The sequence below is a fragment of the Homo sapiens genome, chromosome 14 (genome assembly GCF_000001405.40).
Source record: "Homo sapiens chromosome 14, GRCh38.p14 Primary Assembly".
Taxonomy (NCBI): Eukaryota; Metazoa; Chordata; class Mammalia; order Primates; family Hominidae; genus Homo; species Homo sapiens.
The window spans coordinates 93251923-93276559 of NC_000014.9; the positions used below are offsets into that span (position 1 = coordinate 93251923).

Consider the following 24637-nt stretch of genomic DNA (forward strand, 5'->3'; position numbering starts at 1 on the left):
AGAAATAAATTACACACAATATTATAATAAAACAATGTATACATGTGCTAAATAACAAATCCAACAAAGTGCTCAAAATACAAAATATTGAAGATTGATAATCAGGGCCGGGCGTGGTGACTCATGCCTGTAATCCCAGCACTTTGGGAGGCTGAGGTGGGTAGATCACCTGAGGTCATGAGTTCAAGACCAGTCTGGCCAACAAGGTGAAACCCCATCTCTACTAAACATGCACAAATTAGCCAGATGTGGTGGCGGGTGCCTATCATCCCAGCTACTCAGGAGGCTGAGGCACGAGAACTGCTTGAACTCGGGAGGAGAAGGTTGTAGTAAGCTGAGATCTCACTGCGGCACTCCAGCCTGGATGACAAGAGTGAAACTCCGTCTTAAAAAAAAAAAAAAGATTGATAATCAATTCAAGAGACTTAGAAATAAACCAAATTTTCTTTTTTGAAGAAAAAAGAAAAATGTTGCCTGGGCTGGAGTGCAGTGGTGCCATCATGGCTCATTGCAGTCTTGACCTCCCAGGCTCAAGCAACCCTCCTACTTCAAGCCTCCTGCATAGCTGGGACTACAACAGCACACCACCACGCCTGGCTAGTTTTTTTTTTTTTTAATTTATCTTTATTTTTTGTAGAGACAGGGTCTCACTAGGTTGCCCAGGCTGCTCTTGAACTCCTGGACTCAAGTGATCTTCCTGCTTCAGCCTCCCAAAGTGCTGAGATTACAGGTGTAAGCCACCATGCCTGGTTTAAAAATGAGAAACATTTTGAGGCAACTTGATTGTATACTCATTGAGTATACACACTGTTTTGTCTGTTAAATTTACTTCAGAAAGCTTAATAAGGATTTCCTGCTTTCAAAGACTGTCAGTTCCTCAAAAGGCCAAAGTTTTTTTGTTTTTTGTTTTTTTTTTGAAGACTGGTTCTTACTCTGTCGCCCAGGTTGGAGTGCAGTGGCACAATCACGGCTCACTGTGCAGCCTTTGCCTCCCAGGCTCAGGTGATTCTCCTAAATCAGTCTCCTGAGTAGCAGAAATCAGGGTGCACGCCACCACAACTGGCTAAATTTTTCCTTTTAGTTTTTGGTAGAGTTGGGGTTTTACCATGTTGCCCAGGATGGACCCCGGAAAGTTCTTATGGCTGAACATCTAATAAAAATTAGATGTTTCATTTTCACATTACCGTATTTTCTGGGACAGTTCTTTATGTTACAATATACATAATGCGAACTAGTTACTTAACAGGCCTGAAATTTTTTCTTAGTTTGTGCATTTATTCTAAAACTAAACATAATTCCCAACAGTCAGCTATTGCAGAAATATGTTACAAGAGGTCGTGGCATTCCTTTAATTTAGGAAGGAAGTAAAAAAGTGGGCAATCTTCTTTCAGAACATTTCCCTCATGCTCAAGATCACAAAATAGTGACAACCATTTTCAGTAAGTGGTAACAATTTGCAAGGCAGTTAACAATTTGCAAGGCAACTAAAATGAGAAAAATATAAAATGCATTTTAACATAACCTAAGTTTTAAAAACATGCTTAATTAAAATTAAACGTTTTAGAAAACTATTCTGTTGAGTAGTCAAACTAGAACTTACTTTCATTTTCCCTATTGTTGAAAATATAGGCTATTTCCAAATATTTAAGTAATACTACAGTGAACCACTTTGTGCATATGGTTTGTAATAAAGTAGTCTACTATCTTCAAATGGTTTTCATTACCTTTGCTTCTTCCACATAGGGAGAGAAGAGTCGAGGACGAACATAGATGCCAGCATTTTTTTGCCGTAACCAGGCATTTGACTTCCCACCTTCTGTTGTAGGAAGCATATCTGATGGAGGAGTACTAATCAAGCCTCTTTTCATCTAAAAAAAAATTTTTTTTTTAGATAGAAATCTGTGTAGTACTATAATACTACTAAGATAAATAAAAATATTTATAACTATAAATAAAAATATGCAAACTTTATCATTTAAATAAAAATTTAGAAATGTATATGAAATTTAGAAATACCTCAAATTTTTTTTTTTTTGAGACAGAGTCTCACTGTCGCCCCGGCTGGAGTGCAGTGGCGTGATCTTGGCTCACTGCAACCTCCGTCTCCTGGATTCAAGCGATTCTCCTGCCTCAGCCTCCCGAGTAGCTGGGATTACAGGCACTCACCACCACGCCTGGCTAATTTTTTGTACTTTTAGTAGAGACGGGGTTTCACCATGTTGGTCAGGCTGGTCTGGAACTCCTGACCTCGTGATCTGCCCACCTCGGCCTCCCAAAGTGCTGGGATTACAGGCGTGAGCCACCGTGCCCGGTGAAATACCTCAAATTTTTAATAATATTTAAAAGATTTTCAATAAAAAGATACCATAATTTCCCATTTTTCTCTAAATAGAGGAATATTTTTAAAAACGAGACACATTAATTAAAATGTAGTTAAGTTGGACTAAAGATCAGAACTCTTAATGAAAACCAATTTTTTTTCTTTACTCATCTAGGAACAAATTCAGTCCCCACCCAACTCCTCAAGACAAAACGAGAACATTGACATGGGCCTATATCTACAGTACAAGGATACAGGAAGGCTAGCACAGTGCCTAGCAACACAGGCTCTGGGGCAAGGCAGATGTAGCTCAAACTTCAACTCCTGCATTTAACAGCCATGTGACCATGGACATCTCCTTTACCTGGGCTTCACTTTAAGGGCTCCTGTATGGCTCTGGAGGCAAGGCAGTGCACAGCTAACTGAATGAGGTATCCCTGTTGTTTCCTGACTGATGCCAGGAGAATCTGTATCAAGTATCTTTAGTTCCTAAGGTGGTGTGAGGATTAAATGAGGGCAATGCAGATGAAAGCACCTAGTACAGTGCTTAGCACATACTAAGAGAGCATGAAAGTTAAGAGTCATTGTTAGCAAACCTTTGTTGGGGACTTACGATGTGTTAGGCACGGAGTTAAGAGCAGAGGTATATATTTCCTAACCAAAGTTCTAAAATACTTTTCTAAACTACATACAGGGTTCAATTTGATTTGAGTCCCAGGTTTTAAACAAAACCAAAAGTTGTTTCTCCAATATTACTCTCATTAAATATAATCAACAGCTTCATTAGTTAAAATTACTTTTAACTAGTAAAATACAGCATTATCTAGTATTTAGAAAATAGAGAAAAAAGTCAATACTCATTACAACAGTAATGTTGATATATTTCCTTCCAGTCTTCTCTTTTTCCTTCTCTTCTTTTTTGAGACAGGGTCTCACTCTGTTGCCCAGGCTGGAGGGCAATGGCGAGATCTTGGCTCACTGCAACCTCTGCCTCCTGGGTTCAAGCAATTCTCCCATCTCAGTTTCTCAGGTAGCTGGGACTACAGGTGCATGCCACCATGCCTGGCTAATTTTTGTATTTTTTGGTAGAGACAGTGTTTCACCATGTTGGCCAGGCTGGTCTTGAACTCCTCAACTCAAGTGATCTGCCTGTCTTGGCCTCTGAAAGTGCTGGGATTACAGCGCCTGGCAGAGTCTTTACCAAATGAAGTTTTACATAGTTGAATTTAAGAATACATAAAAATACATACTTTGCATAATCTTTTTTTTTCTTCTTTTTTTTTTGATACAGAGTCTTGCTCTGTCACCAAGGCTGGAGTGCAGTGACACATTCTTGACTTGCCTCTGGGTTCAAGCAATTCTTGTGCCTCAGCCTCTCGAGCAGCTGGGATTAACGGCATGCACCACCATGCCTGGCTAATTTTTGTATTTTTAGTAGAGACAGGGTTTTGCCATGTCGGCCAGGCTGGTCTTGAACTCCTGACCTCAGGTGATCCACCTGCCTTGGCCTCCCAAAGTGCTGGGATTATAGGTGTGAGCCACCACGCCCGGCCACTATACAGTCTTTATAACAACTGTTCAGGGGAGCAAAATATTCTGTTGTGTAGTGGTACTATAACTACTACCTTAACAGGTGAAAAAATGGTAACTGTTTCATTTTGCTTTCTCTGGTGTGTGTGTAATTAGTGAGGGTGAATTTTTTTTTCTAATCAGAATCCACAAATATTTCTTTTTTTAAGTTTTGTTTTTATTTATTTTTATTACTGCTCCTTGTGGAGCAGGGCTACCCCATAGGCAGTATGCCCAGAGTAGCCCATAAATACTTCTTGAAAACAATATTGTTTTCTTCTAGTTCTTCCATGTTTCCATTTAGTATTTAATTCTTCAGTCTAACAAGGATTAATTTTGTGTGCCAGTGAAACGATGGTTTAACTTTCAATAAATTTCTTCTTCTGCTAATCAGTTAATCTAGCACCACATTGACTTGTGATAGTTCGTTTATTATTATGTTTTGTTTTTTTTCCAGAAGACTTTTATAATGTTTTATAATGTTCCTGTGCAGTTAGAAAAAACATATTATGATGTTTATAAGCATTATATTAAGTTTATAAGTCAATGTGTGAAGAACTAATATTTATAATATTTATTTTTCCCATCCATGAATTCAAGCAATTCTATTAATTTTTTTTTTTTTGAGATGGAGTCTCGCTCTGTCACCCAGGCTGGAGTGCAATGGCTCGATCTCGGCTCACTGCAACCTCCACCTCCCCAGTTCAAGCAATTCCCCTGCCTCAGCCTCCCGAGTAGCTGGGATTATAGGCATGCACCACCACGCCTGGCTAATTTTTGTATGTTTAGTAGAGATGGGGTTCTACCATGTTGGCCAGGCTGGTCTCAAACTCCTGACCTCAGGTGATCCACCTGCCTTGGCGTCCCAAAGTGCTGGGATTACAGGAGTGAGCCACCGCGCCCAGCCAATTATATTAATTTTTAAAAAATTCACTGTTTAAAAAATTATGAAAGTAACAAGATGAGCTCTATTAATTTTCAGGTCCATCCATTCTTTTTCTATTCAACCAATCCCTCCACTCCACTACTCTCTGATTCACTGCTGTTCTTGAAGACTCTTCAAAGGTAATTTCTACCTTTCCCTTTTTGAATAAGGGTCTACTTGATCTACACTTAAATGACAGAATTAACTCTGCTAGAAATAATGCTCTTGCATGAGTAAGACCTATTTACCCACTCAACTCTCATTCACTGAACATTTTAACTGTATTATGTGGAAGACACAGGAGATACAACATCGTACACAATAGACATCTGTCTCTGTCCTCACAGAATTACAGCTTCACAATACTCTATTAGTAGCAGAAATTATTTACAATGAATAAAAACATACACCTGGCATTTTTCTTTTCATGAAAGGAATACATGGAGAAAAACACTTACTGCATCACTTAAGACTTCACTGTTTATAGGTAAGATGTGTTCAATTCGCACAAAAGGTAAGAGAGAAGAAAGGATCTCTCTGAGCTCTTCCATGTCCAGGTCCCGTCTTTTTACACCTCTTTTGTTCACACTATGGGCAGTGCCACTCAGTAAGTTTGGCTCTATGAGACAGAAAATGAAAAGTTTCCAACCAAATCCAAATGTTCTGAGACAGGTTTCCTTTGTTCTCTAGTACATACACTAACAGTACCACTCTATAGACTTATGTGCCTCTGCTTTAAAAAGGGTTATAAATCAATTATTTTCTTTCATGTTTGTTTAATAGGGATGTTCTTGGATAAAGAAAAAGCATGGTATCAACAGTACAATAAAATTATTTTATCACTGCTCTGCAATAAAGAATAAAGGATTCCTTTCTATAGACTAACTCAAAAGAGAAAAGATGACAATCTACTAAAATCTAGTTTTATCAAGGGCTTTTTAAAAAGCCTTCTCACTTTTGTGACCAGTGTTTAGTAGTATAAGGTCATTGTAGAGCATATGCCATTTCTGGTCACTGTAAGTTATCAGTATGCTCATTAGCCTACATATGTGTAACAGTAATTTAACAACATGTTAATCACTTGGTGTTTGAAGCAGCAAAGCATAATGTGCTTTATTTGGTTTTAAGATTTTTATGAAAATCTCCCAAATTTCCATAATATGGGAACATTACTGCATAAAAGTAGACCCTTTGATCTTTGACATGTAATATATGTCCATCATCCAAGGCAGAGAATGATTTCTTCATTGGGCATTAGTGAACAACAATCTGAAATACATGTATGCTTATGCTATTGAGGTGGGAAGAAAAATTATGTAATTTGGAAATCTTTAATCATGGCTTTAATCTAGGGGTCTGTAATTTTTTTCTTAAAAAAATTAACACAGAATAAGATCTTATTATTCATGAAATGCTGGATTTTTTTCAAATATTCTACAGGAAAACTGGTATCTTCCTTAAATCGTGTGTGTGTGTGTGTGTGTATGAGAGAGAGAGAGAGAGAATTGATTGTTTTTGAGAAGCTAAGTTTTTTTCTGGATTCATTCAGAATAAAATTGTTAACTGTGTAGAAAAGAGTCATTTTTTTCCCCCTTGCCTAGCTATGATTTAGCTTCATACTTATTTAAGGCATTCTGCTTTTCAAAATATTTTTTTTTCTTAAAGTAGTGACATCCTGTTTTCATATAAAATCTTACATGAAACCCCCAAATATGTGACAGGTAAGTGCAGAATCCTCCTGTATAAAACTGACTGAAACAAAGCTATGGCCTGGTTCACTTAGCTTCCTTCTTATCCTTGCAGAAGAACCTTCCACTAACCCAGTGTGGAAACTACCTTTTATTTATTTTTTTATTATTATTTTTTAAGATGGAGTCTTGCTGTGTTGCCCAGGCTAGAGTGCAGTGGCATGATCTTGGCTCACTGCAACCTCCACCTCCTGGGTTCAAGCGATTCTCCTGCCTCAGCCTCCCAAGTAGCTGGGATTATAGGCACCCGCCACCACACGCAGCTAATTTTTCTATTTTTAGTAGAGATGGGGTTTCACCATGTTGGCCAGGCTGGTCTCAAACTCCTGACCTCAGGTGATCCACTCACCTTGGCCTTCCAAAGTGCTGGGATTACAGGCGTGAGCCACCGTGCCTGGCCTAGCAACTATTTTTCTAAGGAAAATTTTAACCCTTAACAGGCAGATGCCTGTTATCTGCCCCAAATAAATGACATTTCATCATTACCAACTTTACATCACTGAACAAGCTTATGGTCTATAACATTTACACAGAGTTATATACAATCGGTTCTTATTATCTGAAGTAGTTATAAAGTCAACACAAACAATGAATCAGCATATACTGAACTGTTGCTCATAGGGAAAACACAGGGTTAGGTTCCTGTGAACCTCTGGGTACAACATTTTTGTCCAATGATTAAGACAGAACCTTGTTTTATGTGTTTCTGTTTAAAGACACTTTATTTAATATATGTGGCTGATTTATTAACACTAACCTCACAACCAACAGCACTGTAACTCACGCCTGAATGAAGCTTACCTAACTCATGTATTATCTCTGTATGGCACACCACAGCCTTCCTGTTCTCAGGAACACTAGACAGCACTTCAGTACTACACCTGGGGGCCATCTTGAACAGTGAGATCACGAAAACATAAAAATGTAAAAAATGTGGCACTTGGTAAGGAGATCTGAAACAAGAAGGCAGAGTGCCTCTGTCTTGTTAGAACTCAGCTGGGAATGTGCTTGTTGGGAGACCAAGCTTTTTGCTACTCCGTGAATGACCATGAAAGTATCACCAGTATTGATTTTGGGGTTACAAATAAATTTCAGTGACTAGGTAAGTTGACAAATATAAAAGCTACGAATGAGAACTAATTGTATGCTGGCATTTAAAAAACTTTCTAAATCAACTGTAATGGTTTTCATATTTTAAAAAATTCATAACTTGCTGGGCATGGTGGATCATCTGAGGTCAGGAGTTCGAGAACAGCCTGGCTAACATGGCGAAACCCTGTGTCTACTAAAAATACAAAAATTAGCCACGCGTGGTGGCACGTGCCTGTAATCCCAGCTACTCGGGAAGCTGAGGCAGGAGAATAGCTTGAACCCGGGAGGCAGAGGTTGCAGCGAGCTGAGATCGCGCCACTGTACTCCAGCCTGGGAAACACAGCAAGACTCCATCTCAAATAAAAAAATAAATCAAAAACAAAAATCATAACTTTGTTGCTCTCTGAAATAAAATTTTAAAAATAAAAATAAACACATTCAAATCTGAGAATTGCTAAAGGTTTTTGCCAGCCACAGAAAAAAAATTGGAGAAATAAAATAGAAGGACTGCTTTTGTTCCCTAGAGCTTGGATAGTAGCATATTAAAGAAACACTATAAAAAGGCTTAAAGGCAGGTTTAGCACAACATTTTTTATATTTAAAAATGTGACAAAACAACTCTATAAAGGTACTAAAATCCACTGACTTGAACACTTCAAACCGGTGAACTTTAAGATACATAAATTATATCTAAATAAAACTATCGAAAGGTGACAGAAAAAGGAAATTGGTATTTAATTTTTCAATTAAAAATTTTAAATTTAGATTCAGTACATAAAGGAATACAACGATGTTTGAGGGAAGGAGGACAGGTGGGTGGGCTAACCCTACACACAAACAAAAGACTGCTGTAGAATCACAAATTTCCAAAGTTGAAAGCCCAGCCTCCAACATATGATGCTTCCTTCTCTTCTGCAGTGACCCCACTGGGAGGTCATTCAGAAGTATTATTTATTTCTCTTTTACCTTCCACAACATTTTTTTTTTTTTTTTGAGACGAAGTTTTGCTCTTGTTGCCCCAGGCTGGAATGCAATGGCCCCATCTCGGCTCACCACAACCTCTGCCTCCCGGGTTCAAGTGATTCTCCTGCCTCAGCTTCCCAGGTGGCAGGGATTACAGGCACATGCCACCATGCCCAGCTTATTTTTTATTTTTAGTAGAGACAGGGTTTCTCCATGTTGGTCAGGCTGGTCTCGAACTTCCAACCTCAGGTGATCCGCCCGCCTCGGCCTCCCAAAGTGCTGGGATTACAGGCGTGAGCCACTGCACCCAGCCTACTTTCTACAACATTTAAAAATAAACAATGAATGCTTTTTTATTTGTACTCTTTTTTTTTTTGAGTCTTGCTCTTTCACCCATGTGGAGTGCAATAGTGCAATCTCAGCTCACTGCAACCTCTGCCTCCCAGGTTCAAGTGATTCTCATGCCTCAGTCTCCCGAGTAGCTGGGAGTACAGGCGCGTGCCACGACTTCCCACTAATTTTTGTATTTTTAGTAGAGGCGGGATTCTGCCATGTTGGCCAGGCTGGTCTCAAACTCCTGACCTCAGGTCAGCCTGTACTCGTATTTTTAAACTGAGGTTAAAATTCACATAACACAAAATTTATTTAAAACATTTTAAAGCGTACCATTCAGTGGCTCTTACTATACTTGTATTGTTGTGCAACCATCAACACTAATTCCAAATTTTCATCAACATTATGCTTTTGTAATACTTTAGTCATTATATGAAATTATATGAAATTTTTCATTCTAGTACTTCCACGAATCAGTCATGTTTTATTAAGCACCTAAGAACATAATAATAAAAAGTATCCTTTTAAAGCTGCAAAATAAGACTTTCTGATATATTTATTTTAATAAACTATACCCTGTCCACTAAAGGATTTTGCTGGTGGTAAAAACTTCCATTTTCACCAGGCAACAGTGTCAATTTTCAAGACTGATGTGCGGCATGCATTTCTATATAAGAACCACCAAATTTTACACAAGGTAACTAGTGCAAGCTAATTTTCGGAGCTTACCTCTATCTGCTATTCTTTTCATCAACTGATGCTCTCCCCATTTAATCAGATATTTAAGGATATCTTGTTCACTTGCCTATAATAAAAAATGGTTTATATTTATTTTAGTGAAATTAGATAAGTGGTTAATTTCATTAAGGACTTTTCGTAGGTGGGAAATAACAGCATGCAACTTACCATGTTTCACTCTTTCCATTGGCTGTTTGAAGTTTTAGTGTTAAATCTGTGGTCCATCAACAGGAAATATACAAGACTGCATTACATATATTTTATCCAGTAACCTCAATCTTGGCTCCAACTAATTTTTAAATTTCATTTCTATCTTCTTTTTCTGTAATCTGCTCCCTTCCTATTTTATTTTTTCATTTTAATTTTTCCTTTTGAGATGAAGTCGTACTCTATTGCCCAGGCTGGAGTGCAGCAGTGCCATCATGGGTCTCTGCAGCCTCAACCTCCTGGGCTCAAGTGATTCTCCCCGCTTCAGCCTCCTGAGCAGCTGGGACTACAGGTATGTGCTACCACACCCAGCTAATTTTTTTTTTTTTTTTTGAGAGGGAGTCTCGCGCTGTTGCCCAGGCTGGAGTGCAGTGGTGTGATCTTGACTCACTGCAAGCTCCTCCTCCCAGGTTCACGCCATTCTCCTGCCTCAGTCTCCCAAGTAGCTGGGACTACAGGCGCCCGCCACCACGCCTGGCTAATTTTTTTGTATTTTTAGTAGAGACAGGGTTTTACCTTGTTAGTCAGGATGGTCTCGATCTCCTGACCTCGTGATCCGCCTGCCTTGGCCTCCCAAAATGGCTAATTTTTTTTTAAATTTTTTGTACAAATGGGGTCCCACCTGTTGCCAAGGCTGGTCTCGTACTTCCGGGCTCAAGCAACCCACTTCCTATTTTAAATTTATTTTATCTTACTATGTGGTTTCTATATAGCTGCCTTAAATTCTCTTTTGGAAGAAAACAGAGATAAGTAAATGAAAGTGTAAGTATAGGGTATAGGCAGAGTAACTACTCTCTCCTGGAGGGACAGGAAAAACAAGTCAGTCAACTTGTTTTGGCAGAAGAAACTACAATCTCTACAAGGTATTCTACTGGTTAGTGAAGCACAATCTGTGAAATGGCAATGTAGCCCTCATTTCTTTGTATTTTATTTAAAATCTTAGAGCAAATCTAGGCTGCTCTCTGTTTTTTTTTTTTTTAATACTTTCTAAGAAGGAATGCAAAGCTCCTAAAGACAATAATCTAAGAGAACTAACAACTTCTAACACAAACATAAAGCGTCCAGTTTTGATCAGGACAATGAGACAAGGTTAATGAACAAAGATTCTCCATAAATCAAGCCCAAGTATGCCATCTGTACTGCAATCAAAGCAACATACAAAGGAAAAGCACAGATGCTGAGTGTATTATTTAACTCTCCACTGCATTTCTGACTAAAATGGTAGCATTTTATTATTTTTCTAGTACAAATACAAAGAAATAGGAAGTGGTTCAATGGGTTTATGTCTTTAATAGCATTAAAACGGTTGTACAGTTTTTAGCATAAAATTCATATAGCCAATGCACAAAAATTAAGCTTGGATATACTTTGCCTGTAAGTATTTTCTGTAATGTATAAAATCTATTATTAATGTAAATTTCCAAATTAAATTGACATTTAAGTCAAGAACACAAGAATTTGCTAAAAACTACTTCTGGTTAAAAATAAGTAGTTGAAAACATTACCGTACTTTGGAAGAATACATGCACTGAGTTTTGATAAAAATGTGAGCAGATCAGAAATTGAATATTATTTTTACTTTGTGCTGCTGAAGCTACTGTCTTACAATCTAAGTATGTGATGCTCCACCAAAAGTAAGAAACCACTATAGAGAAGCTACATTAATAGAAGTCAAGAAAATCATGTTGGGATGTGCTTCTGACCTTGCCTACTGCCCCAATCTCTTTTTGGTGCATTTGGCTGGGACCTGGGCTTGTTCAATGTTGAGTCATGGTAGCAGTGTACATGAAGAGCCAGTGAGCCAGAAGGCTTTTGTTGTACAACTATGAAGAGGGCAGTCCTGGGTGGTTTGATCACAGCCTGTTTCTCTTCCCCTGCCCTACCCTAGATGGAAGAGTAATAGAGCATAGATGGGTTTCTTGGCGCACATATGAATGACAGAGTTTGAGAGGTGTTTAAATGATTACCTGTAGGTAGTCAGACTGGATAGCAGTAAGCAGATGGTCTTTGCTGAGTTCATAAAAAACATCCGAAGTCATGACCTGGGAAAATTCCTCACAGAGGAAATGTAAAGCTTGTCGGTGCACCCATTTAGAGCCATATGGATGAGAACTCCACTTGAGGATGGCAATTAAGGTATCTAATGAGATGCTCTCAGCAATGATATCCTCACAGCCTAAAAGAGAAGGCAAATACTTCTTGAGATTAATCATAAATATTACTTATTGAACATTAGTGTGCTAGGCACGATATTTAAAAGTCACAATAGCAAAAAAGAACTCAAGGAGATAAATAAAATCTCATGAAAATCACCAAGACTTGGTGGGATGGGTAAACAATAGACTATGGCATCTATAGAAAATCTGCTGCCTTACAGAGATGGATCTACAGAAAAAGGCAGAGAATCCTCCCAAGTTCAAGATAATAAACATCTATGTGCAAACCAATAATGTGAGTAAGTCAGTATAGAGGAAGACATTGGACCAAAAGGGAAAGAAGAGTAGGCAAAAAGGCTGCAGTGGTGGAAACTGGCTAGAGGAAGGAAGTGGATGACACCTGACTGATGAGAGAATGCACACCTCAGAATAAGGTAGGTGGGCTGCCAGCTATGCAGACATCCACTCTTTGTATGAAAACATAGCACCTTGCATTGTTGACAGTTTAATCCTTCAGAAAATAGACAAAATACATCTGAGCTTAATTCTGGCAAACTTGAAAAAGTAAGTGAAGAGGACCAGGATCCTGGAGAAAGCAACTATGGCATTTCAAGAACTCAAGGAAGAAAAGAAAACCTAAGGAGACTCAACTCTCCTCCTTAGGAAAGATCATTTCAAAATATAAAGATAAAATATAAGTAAAAATCTGAGTGACAAAGATTATGGGAGTGAGAATGGCTAAAGTTGAACAGAAATTTTTCATTAAGCTTACTATAAAACAAAAAACAATCCTGATAATGTGAAAACAAACAAACAAACAAACAGGTGTTTAAACACCACCACCAGGCCGGACACAGTGGCTCTTGCTTGTAATCCCAGCACTCTGGGAGTCCAAGGCGGGCAGATCACCTAAGGTCAGGAGTTAAGACCAGTCTGGCCAACATGGTGAAACCCAGTCTCTACTAAAAATACAAAAATTAGCTGGGCGTCCTGTAATCCCAGCTACTCGGGAGGCTAAGGCAGGAGAATCACTTGAACTCGAGAGGCGGAGGTTGCAGTGAGCTGAAATTATGTCTGAAATCGTGTCACTACACTCCAGCCTGGGCGACAAAGCAAGACTCCGTCTCAAATAAAATAAAATAAAATAAACACTACCAAACTATGGCTACACAGAAAGGGCGTAAATAAACTCCAGAGACTTCTAAAGTTCAAAGCTGTTTGTGAAACCATGAAAGGTGTAAAGATAAAGGGAGTGAATCCCACTTTCAAGTGATAGAAGATAATGAGTAGCAATATGGAGTCTACAAAAAGTAAACCCTCATTCCCCTTTCTGATACGCTACCAGATGAGGAGAAATATCATAGAGAACCGTATAACTTCATTTCCACAAAGCATTTAGAAAATATTTCATGATGCTGCTAAACTGTAAGCACCACAAGATAGGGACGGCTATCTTCAATGTATTCCTAGCACCTTCTCGCACATGTGCTAAACCTGTGCTAAGTAAAAATGTGTTGAATGTACAAATGAGATCTTTGCAGATAACATGAAGAGACAGGGGATGGGATGACAGGACAGTGGTTAACAGAACCATTCATAAACAGCACTGATTAACTTGATGCGTGGAGTGGGAAGTTGGTTTTTGCCATGTTTATCAAGAATTTGGGGCCGGGTGCGGCGGCGCACGCCTGTAATCCCAGCACTTTGGGAGGCTGAGGCAGGTGGATCACCTGAGGTCAGGAGTTCGAGACCAGCTTGGCCAACATGGTGAAATCCCATCTCTACTAAAAATACAAAAATCAGCTGGGTGTGGCGGCAAGTGCCTGTAATCCCAGCTACTCAGGAGGCTGAGGCAGGAGAATTGCTTGAACCCGGGAAGTGGAGGCTGCAGTGAGCTGAGATCGCACCACTGCACTCCAGCCTGGGCTACAGAGTGAGACTCTGTCTCGAAACAAACAAACAAACAAACAAAAATCTTGGATAATGATGTGGAAAGTATGTTTCAAAATCTTCAGATGACCCCAAACTTGGAAACACAGTTAACACCACACTGCATAGCAGAATCATAATTGCCTAAAAAGACTGATCAAAATGAAGCTGAAATATAACTAGGAGAATTAGTTCTACATTTAAAGAAATCGACTGCACAGCAGATGATGGTTGGCTTAACTGGAACTATATAAAATATCTGGGTTTTTTTTTTTCACTGAATGAATGCAAAATGTGACATGGCTGTTATAGATCTGAAGCAATCTCAGGCTTTTCAGGTACGAGCATTGAGCCGTAATCAAAGGACTCATGTTGCTGCTTTCTGTGGAGTGCTGTGTCATTCTGGGCCCCGTGGGTCAGTTTAGATTAGCACTGACCAAACTGCAAGAGTCTCAGGAGGGCAAGGGAATAGTAGAGAGTTCGCAACTTATCACAGGAAAAAAGCTCCAAGCAAGAGATGATTTGGGTTATGTAAGAGAAACCTGAGGAGAGACATGAGAGCTGTCTTTAAATGCCTCTTCACGAGGCAGAGGAGAAATAACTGATTTATCCGTTGTTCCTAGGAAACAGACAGATGTTAAAAGTGGGGAGATTTTGGTTCAATGATAAGAAATTTCTAACAATTAGAATTTCCATCCTCTTCTCCCATTAAAAAAAGGATCCTTCTAGAAAGTGTCAGAACAGAGGCTGGCTCGTCACATTAGGGATGGAGTATAAGGAACCCTGACACTGGAAAGGAACTAAGGTCAGAAGACATCCAAGCTGATTTCATCACAAAGACAAAACCGTTTCTATAAGATGGTAACAGAGCAAATAAAAGATGTCTTTATTCCAAGCACTAAAAGAATATCCCTATAAGGAACACAATGAGACCACCACATTTATATCCACATATAGATGACACCCAAAGGCGTGAAGATGTGCTAATGAGAAGTGGGAAATATGGGAAAGTTTTCAACAGTCGTCATTTTATGACGAGCCTTTGAGCCTTGAATACCAAGCTGAGGAGGACAGACCTCATTCAGTAGCCAGTGGAGGACCTCTGTTGGCCTGTTGTTTTAAAGTGGGCATTGGAATAGAATTGAGTGGGATGAGTTAATCTGATAGGAAAGGCAATCTCATAGATGTGTTTGGGAGTGAAGCAGGGGAAATGAGAGAAAAGCTGGTTATTTAAAATGATGTGTCACAATCCTACTAAACCAGGATACTGGCAGAGGTGAAGAAAAAGAATGAAAGATAACATGATCACAAATATTTAAACTGCTGAGGTTTACAAAGCAGCAGGATACAGTAGGAAAAAAAATGGGCTTTAAAATCAGATTGGACTTGAAATCCTAGCGCTGCCACTCAGTAGCAAAATCACTTTAGGCAAATCACTTCACTCTTTAAGAGTCTGAAATGTTCTCATCTGCAAAGCTGAGATTATTTCCTACCTCACAGGGTTGTTATGGGATTTAAATGAGACCATACTCTTGACACTCTACATTTGCTCAAACAGTCTGGAGTACCTAAGCCGAGTACCATGAATATCCAGCTCTTTTCACTGCCTGGTGATGTCACTTGCCCCACGGCCTTCACCTCATTATATCCCTGACTTCCCAGCTGATAGCTCCAAGCCTGAGCTGACTCCCAGTCACACCTGACTTTCACATGGATTTTCCACAGACATCTTAAATGCCAAAGTCAATTCATTTCCTCTGGGAAATCTGGGCCTCTTCAGTCACCAAAGGCAGAGATCTCAGTACTATTATTGGGTTCTTCTCCGGATGCCCATATCCAATCTATCACCAGATGCTGTTCATTCTTCTTTTCAATTCAACCCCTCCACAGAATCTCCATTGAATTTTTACCACCTCCTTTTCAGAACCTGATACTTTTCCCCTGCATTATTGAAATGGCTTTTAAAAAATTCCCACCTCCAGTCTTTCCCTTTCTAATCTGCTCTCTGTACTGTTGCCAGAATGATCTTTTAAAATGTAAATTATATATGGCCTCTTTAACGAATTATTCAATAACTTCATGCTACAAATGATTTCAAGAAAAAGTCCAAGCTACATCTCCCTTGATGATCTGGCACCTGCCTACTCCCCAGCCCATCCCTGCGCAGACTCTACACCCGTCATACTGTGTCCCTTCCAATTCCCCAGAAGTCCACCAATCGCTTGCACCTCCAGGCTTTTGTGTATGTTGTTCCATTTTTCTGAAATGCCCCTAACTCTTTTTCTTAACTCCTCTGCATCTTTAAGTCTCAGCTTAGATGCTGCCTCTTTTAAGAGCCTACTTTGATACTGCTCCTCAAAGCCTTAGGTCAGGTGTTCCTCCTATCTAAAAGTTTCTCTGGTACCCTGTGTTTGTCTGTAACAGCACAAAACTCTCATACTACTATATCTTTCTTATATATATTTGTCTGACTCTTCCACCAGACTAAGTTCCTTTTCGGTAAAAGCCCCATCTTATCTGATTCTATAGTGTCTGGCACCTAGTAGATAATTAACTAAAAGCAAATAATAATAGTAGCTAACATTCTTGAAAACTTATTATGTATATGTATCAGGCTCTGTGTTAACTGCTTACTTTAGAATATTTAATTTTAGCACTTCTTCTCAAAGAAGGGTGTATTATTATTACTATTATTATCATCCCCATTTTATAGATGAGAAAACTAAGACTCAGAAAGATTAAATAAGTTACCCAAGGTTATACATCTAGGAAGAAACAAGTCCTACCTAAACATATCCTTCCTTCCCCTCCCAAAAGTTCCCCTTCCCAGCCTTTTATGCCTCTAACTTAGACCTTTTTTTTTTTTTTTTTTTTTGAGACAGATTTTGCTCAGCCGCCCAGGCTGGAGTGCAGCAGCACGATCTCAGCTCACTACAACCACCACCTCCTGGGTTCAAGGGATTCTCCCGTCTCAGCCTCCTGAGTAGCTGGGATTACAGGCACCCACCATCATGCCCGGCTAATTTTTTATATTTTAGTAGAGACGGGGTTTCACCATGTTGGCCAGGCTGGTCTTGAACTCTTGATCTCAGGTGATCCGCCCGCCTCGGCCACCCAAAGTGCTAGGATTACAGGTGTAAGCCACTGCACCCAGCTCTAACTTAGGACTTTTACTAATCAATGCTCATTAGAACTTATTTAGAACTACTTCTCTCACGAGCAGAAAGCACCTTATAAATACACCAAACATGGTGATATTAACTCAAAAATGTAAAAGGAAGACAGATAAAAAACTGGAATGTTGGTAAAAAGAGATTTATCTTATAATGTCAAAATTAATGTTTTAATCTGATGGTAAAGGATTTCAATTAATGATAATACAACTTTGTCAAGGTTATCAATATTGGAATGAAAATGTAAATATAGCAGCAAGGCAGAAGGGATGCTGGCAGGGAAAGGCCAACAAGTGGGTGCTGAGAGGCTTTACACGGTGCCACATCCTTGGTAATGGACAAGTCCTGTAGGTACGAAACCATCAGCACACTCAAAGATGGTCAGACTCTTGGTGACAAAGTGATCCTAACACAAACCCATGACACATGCGTAGATCAGAATGCTTACTCATGGGCAGTACAGGGAGTCAGTTCTAGTGAGCAGAATGTCATGTGTTCTCTCTCGGCACTTTGCAAACTATCGCGAGTCATGCTACAGTTTTTTCTTTCTTTTTAAATTTCCAACGTGTCCTGGACCAATACTTTAGTAAAATTCAGCAAAAACACCGCTTGAATATTGTGGCAATTGTTTAGTTTCTAAATGCTTGTTGTTAATTTCTGTACCTATCTCACTCACTGCAGACATGCTTTGAATAGTACTGCTCTGTCTAGAGTCCCTTTCCTCTTTAGGGAACTGGGCTTGCCTTCTTCCCTCCTACCACGTGAAAAGTATGCTGTGACTAGCTTATTGGTCCCAGGAGGAGAATGGGCAGCCCTGGGAACACAGCCACCCCTGCTGATCCACAGTGGCAATGAGAGAGGCCCCAGCTGCTGCAAACTGAAGCAGAAATGCCCCACCTAACCCAGAAACTTATTAGAAATAAATGTTCATTGTGTTATACCACTGAGGTTCTCAGATTGTTTCTTACACAGCAACGGTTGACTAATAAACCAGTTAGCTTTTTAGATCAACTCAAAAGCTTTTATTTTTATTTTTTTGAGATGGAGTTTCACTCTTGTTGCCAGACTGGAGTGCAGTGGCGTGATCTCAGCTCACTGCAACCTCAGCTATCCGGGTTCAAGCAATTCTACTGCCTCAGCCTCCTGAGTAGCTGGGATTACAGGCGCCTGCCACAACACCCGGCTAACTTTTCTATTTTTAGTAGAGACGGGATTTTGCCATGTTGGCCAGGCTAGTCTTGAACTCCTGACCTCAGGTGATCCACCCGCCTCAGCCTCCCAAAGTGCTGGGATTACAGGCGTGAGCCACTGCGCCTGGCCAAAAGCTTTTATTAACAGCCAAGCGTGGTGGTGGGCATCTGTAATCCCACACTTTAAGAGGCTGAGGCAGGTAGATTACCCGAGGTCAGGAGTTCGAGACAAGCCTAGCCAACATGGCGAAACCCAGTCTCTACTAAAAATACAAGAATTAGCTGGGTGTGGTGGCATGTGTCTGTAGAGTCCCAGCTACTCAGGAGGCTGAGGCAGGATAATCACTTGAATCCAGGAGGCAGAGGTTGCAGTGAGCCGAGGTTGTGCCACTGTACTCCAGCCTGGGCAACAGAGCGAGACTCTTGTCTCAAAAAAAAAAAAAAAAGCTTTTATTAACAATTTCCTGGTAACAGAAAAATTCCACCTGTAGCCAAGGCATTTAATGGATAAAAGGCACCAATACATTCCGCTCAGGCAGACTTTCAGTGATGCTCTTGGGAGGCTGGCAGGTAGTACAAAGTCAACTTCTTACAATTTCTTTTGCTTGTGTGATAACCACACTTTACAGATCCATCTCCTACTTATTTAATCCTTTCCTCTATTCTCTTTTACTAGGATATTTTCTTTCTAATCTTTAATGTAAGCAAAAATACCTTCCCTCAAAAAATTGAGTCACATAACCAGTAGGAATGAATGACCAAGGCTGAAGGTTTAGACTTAAAGAGCTAACAAATCAATCTGAAATTCAGTAACACAAATGACTGTATTGCTGCATGTTAAATAGGATCACTTTCTGTTTTTATTATCAATTTTTGTTTCTCCTCTTCATGTTTGTCCCTCTGGTAACTAAAAATAGCCTCAACGTTGACAGTTCTCCTGAATACACTGTCAGGATCTTTGTTTCCCCCTTACTTGTTATTCCTACAATGCCACCCTATTTGTTTCACCAATACCAGTGGGAAACTTTTCCGCTGGCTCATGTCCATCAGGAAATATATAAACGACTTCCAGATTCATATTGAGGTCGGGGTGGAAAGAGGAAGGAGGAAACAGGCAAGGGGGAAAGGAAAAAGGAACAGGGAGATTACAGCTTGCCATGCAACATAAAACAAGATCGTAAGTTTAGAGGAGGGCCGGCCTTAGACTTGGCATGGTGATTCTTCAGAGGCACCAGAGTTAGAAATAAGAATTGAAGTACAAACAGGCTCGAGAGAAAAGTTGCTTCAATTCTTTCTTACTAACCAGTACATGACTGATTCAGAATCCTGAGAAAAGAAATTAAGAAATAATGGAAGTGAGTGTGGCAGGAAGTGAAAGACCATAGGTTTTAAATTCAGGCAGCTGCATCACTAATTCTTGACCCTCACTCAGCCTGTACCAGATTAAAACACATCCTGTCCAGGTGTGATGGCTCACACCGGTAATCCCAGCACTTTGGGAGGCCAAGACGGGCGGATCGTTTGGGCTCAGGAGTTTTGAGACCAGCCTGGGCAATATGGTGAAACCTTGTCTCTACAAAAAATACAAAAATTAGGTGGGTATAATGGTGCATGCCTGTAGTCCCAAGCACTCAGGAGGCTGACGTGGGAAGACCGCTTGAACCTGGGAGGTAGAGGTTGCAGTGAGCCAAGAGATGCCATTGTACTCCAGCTTGAATGACAGATGAGACCCTGTCTTAAAAAGACAAAACAAACAAAAACTACATCCTGTGGGCGGGCGCAGTGGCTCATGCCTGTAATCCCAGCACTTTGGGAGGCCGAGGTGGGCGGATCACCAGGTCAGGAGTTTGAGACCAGCCTGACCAACATGGTGAAACCCCATCTGTACTAAAAATCTACTCGGGACCTCAGGAGGTTGAGGCAGGAGAATCGCTTGAACCCGGGAGGTAGAGATTGCAGTGAGCCAAGATTGCACCACTGCACTCCAGCCTGGGCAACAGAACGAGACTGTCTCAAAAACACAAAAACAAACCTACATCCTGTGAGTCTTATTTTCTCATGTCAGCTGAAAGAATCTGAAGTTCTGAGGATTACACTGGAAATTGGGGAGAAATGTGTCTACACAGTACCCTATAAATCTTTAATTTCTACTCTGCCTTTCTGCCCTCCTTTGACCTCAATATCTAACCAATGTGTCCTACAGATTTGTCCTTCAGAACACCCTTCAATTAGCCTCTCTTCCATTCCCACTAGAATACCACCTTAGTTCAAATCCTTAGCATCTCATATACCAATTACTGAAAAGCTTCCTACTGTCTCCCTCCACCCAGGATTCCAATGCATACAGAGCACACTATTGAAAGGTTTAAGTTTTCTAAAACAGCACTACCATCACATCACACCTACAAATCTATTTTTAAAAGGCAACCAGGAATTCCGGATCCAAAGCAAAAACTGAGTGTCAGATATAAGGGCGAGAAGACAAGTCAACCTGCGCCTCAGTGTTCTGCACTGTCGGTCCTTAGATGCTGTGACTCTGAGAGCTGCTTGGATGAATGCTCCTCTCTACTATTTCTCAGGAGGACAATTCTGATGAAGAGCCTAAGCCCAGGTGTCTGCAGTGGTGATCAGCTCAATGACACACTCTTGTACTGCTCCCCCTCACTCCTGCTCATGGGATACTTACTGACTAAATGACCTGCATGTCAGCCTTTGATCTGGGCTGTGCTTTCGGCATGCACTGTGGGGAATGGGAGGAGACACCCAGCAAAGATAACAGAAATGGCCCTAGAAAACAAGGTTCTTGAATGAGATTCTAGATCTACCTTACTCACTGACCAAATGGCAAAAGGTCTCCCCCTCCCATTCCTACTGGTAGGAGACATGGTGATAACCCCTGCACATAGTAGCATGACAACACCAGGAGCAGATTAAAATGAGGTACATGTGGAAGGTAAAGTATCAGATCACCAATCATGGTGGCACTTGAATGGAATGGAAACATTAGTGACTATAAGGCCTAGATACTGGCTGGATTAACAACTTTAGAGGCCATGAACAAACAGAATGACAGGCTCAGGTTAGCCAACCCTTAAATCTAGGCATTCTTCAAAGTCTGAAGACTTCCAGGTCAGTGTCTGAAAAGACCCTATTTCTTGCAGCTGCGGGGCAGATTGCCAAAATTCAGGCTCCAGACTTAATTTAAAAGATATCAGAACTACAAAGGAGATATGAAAGAAAGCCTTGACAGGTGTTCTATGATAAAATCTGGGTCCTGGTAGGAACACTTGGACACAGAAACCTGGAATGGGGATATTTGGTTGGCTTAGCTGAGAATATTAAACCCCAAGATTTACCTGAATTTTTTGGGCTAGGAGAAGCAGCTCCCCCAACTCCTTGCTAGAGAGCAGCAGCCTCCTTCATCTGGAGACCCTGCAGGTGCCTGAAAAGATAATGCTTGTTCTCTTTAAGATCAGTTCCTGCCTTCTCTCACTACCTCCAAACCAATAATGAGGATCATGTTCCCAGCACAGTCTGATTGGGAAAATACAGTCCCTGTTCTGGGAGGAAAGAGTGTAGGCACCTAAAGAATGGTAAGACCTGGCTATATGCACTGGCAGGTCCTGAAGGTACACTCGTACAAGTGGATCCTGTGTTGGATGAGGTGCAAGGTCTGTGGCTATACAACAGCAGTTCATTCAGAACCCAGGGGATTCACTGCAGCATCTTCTGGTGCTTCTTTGCTGAGGGATAACAGAGACCTAGTGATTGTAGCAACTACTAATAAAGAAACTAAGAGCTCAAATACCTCTGGGATGAAGGTCTGGCTCACACCTAGTAGGCTGCCTAGGCCTGCTGAAGTATTGGCAAAGAATGATGAAAATCTAGTTTCAATCTCTTCCATGATTGAGTCTTTTGTAGAGGTGTGGCTGGCCACCATCTTGAAGATTCCGTGATGATGGAGCACACAAACTGATCTGAGTGATGCAAGAAGTAGACTAAATTCAGCAACTCTTGCGCCCACTGCACAACCTCTCTGCCTTTCACCACAGCAGCCCAGTTACAGCACCCTGCCTCAGCAGTACCTTTGTATCTTTTGTTGTCTGCTGTGAAAATTGTGACCCTTGGAGTCAGCACCTCTGGAAATCTGCTAGGCACCTGTCCATATGCAAACCATGAGATGCAAGGGAGTGAACACCCTATTGGAAACACTTTTCCAATGGAGGGATGGAAGGTGGTAGGTAAATGTCCCCTCTTTCTTCCCTCTGGAAGACAATCCTGAAGTACATTCCATGTGGCTCATCAGTGAGTTCCAGTAGGATTATGCCTGATTGACCACAGCAGTGATCAGCTCAGAACACATGCTTGTATTGGCTTGTTCTCATTCCATTTCACTCATCAGTTACCCACTCCTATTCTCTGGTAGAACTTCCCAAAATAAACTTTTTGCTTGCAAGTCCTTATACGAGGCTCTACTTTTTGGAGGGAACCCAGGCTAAGAAAGAGCAGATACAAAAATCTACAGTTTTGACACTGGTCTAAAAGAAGTAATGTTATTTTTAATTGCCACTCTAGATTTTGGTCAAACTAATGGGTCATTCAGCCCTGGATTCCAGGTTACCTTTCTAGACTTTCATTTAAAAAAATTATTGAGCTTTGTGCAGGCTCTGTACTACATGTGAGGGATACAATGATAAATAATACAGCTCTTGATTTCAAGAAGCTAACAATGTTCTAGAAGGGTAGAAAAAGAAGTAGGCAATCTCACCTCTATGTAGTAAGTACTACCAAAGGGGTGTACAAAAGGCTATGGTACACAGTGGGGGGCTACCTAAATTCTCAGGTGGAGTGAGAATGGCAAGGGATAGAACCTACATATAACCCACTACTGTGTGAATACCAGAAAACGGAGATTAGGGTTCATCTTAGGGTCTACTTGTTGCACTACATTTATGGCCACCTTAGTAATATACTTTCTGACAGACTGGACAATCCTAATCACTTCAGTTTGCTCTTTGTATCCCTATTCCTTTTATCTTCTTCAGCTTTCTTTTCTCAGAACACACCTAACTTCACCACTTCTCTGAACAGTGGGAAGAATATATAATTTGTATTTTAGGCAAGGATGCATTATAGTTTGGCAAAAAAATTTTTAAAGTTGTAGTTTTCTGTGTTTTGTTTCTTATACCCTTGTAGCTAATATTTGGAATTTGGTTGTCCCTGTTGGGTAAAGAGGCATAACAGAGTGTAGTCTTAAAGTTGCTTAACAGTGGTCACTTAACAGAAATACCATCTGAGAAAAGCATTGTTAGGCAATTTCATCATTGTGCGAACATCAGAGTGTACGTACACAAACCTAGATGGTTTAAGGCCTATTACACACCTAGGGTACACAGTATATAAGGCCATTTTTTTGCTCATAGGCTATGAATCTGTACAGTGTGTCACTGTATTGAATACTGTAGGCAACTATAATGCAATGGTATCTGTTCACTGAAACACATCTAAACATTATAAAGGTACTGTGAAAGTACGTTATTACATAACCTTATAGGACCACTGTTGTACATGTGGTCTGCTGTTTACTGAATCATCATTATGTGGTACATGACCATTTATCCACATAGAAACGTATCTTTCAAGTCTCTGTCCGTTTTAATAGTCTTGGCCATGCATGGTGGCTCACGCCTGTAGTCCCAGCACTTTGGGAGGCTTAGGTGGGGCAGATCTTTTGAGCCCAGGAGTCCAAGACCAGCTTGGGCAACACAGTGAGACCCTGTCTCTAAAAACAAATTTAAAAATTAGCCAGGCATGGTGGCATATGCCTGTAGTCCCAGCTACTTGGGAGGCTGAGGTGGGAGAATTGATTGAGCTTGGGAGGTCAAGGTTGCAGTGAGCTGTGATCATGCCACTGCAGCACTCCAGCCTGGGCAACAGAGCGAGACCTTGTCTCAAAAAGTCTTACAAGATTTTCCCGCAAGAGCTAAATGCCAGTCAGGCATTACTAATACTATATTTCCAATCTAAGTATCTTTTCATGCTCCCTTACAATACATTTTAGGTTATGTTCTGAGACAATCTCTGGATTATCTATCTGGAAGGGTACACAGGAACCTGTAACACTGGTTGCCTCTGTCAAGGGCAACTGAGTGGCTGGGGAACAAAGTGGAAGGGTGGGGGACTCTTTACAGAATACCATGTTGAATTCTGTTCCGTGTGAATGTATTACCTATTAAAAGTTAAATTAAAAAAAAGTACCACCAGGCTATGGAAGCTGCCAGAAGTTCTTTTCCT

General features: G+C 40.5%; 1 protein-coding gene across 6 annotated transcripts in view; it reads right to left on the reverse strand.

Moving 5' to 3' along the window:
- The window catches only part of BTBD7 (BTB domain containing 7), a 95487-nt gene that overhangs the window by 14373 nt on the left and 56477 nt on the right, over positions 1-24637 (reverse strand). For 5 of the 6 annotated variants that reach the window (NM_001289133.2, NM_001002860.4, XM_011536939.3 and 2 more), the window contains 4 exons: positions 11863-12071; positions 9680-9755; positions 5273-5433; positions 1725-1868 (listed from right to left, as the gene is read on the reverse strand). In NM_001289133.2, the coding sequence (NP_001276062.1) occupies positions 1725-1868; positions 5273-5433; positions 9680-9755; positions 11863-12071 (590 nt within the window). The remainder of the gene's footprint in view (positions 1-1724; positions 1869-5272; positions 5434-9679; positions 9756-11862; positions 12072-24637) is intronic. The other variant, XM_017021438.2, reaches the window with a different exon arrangement.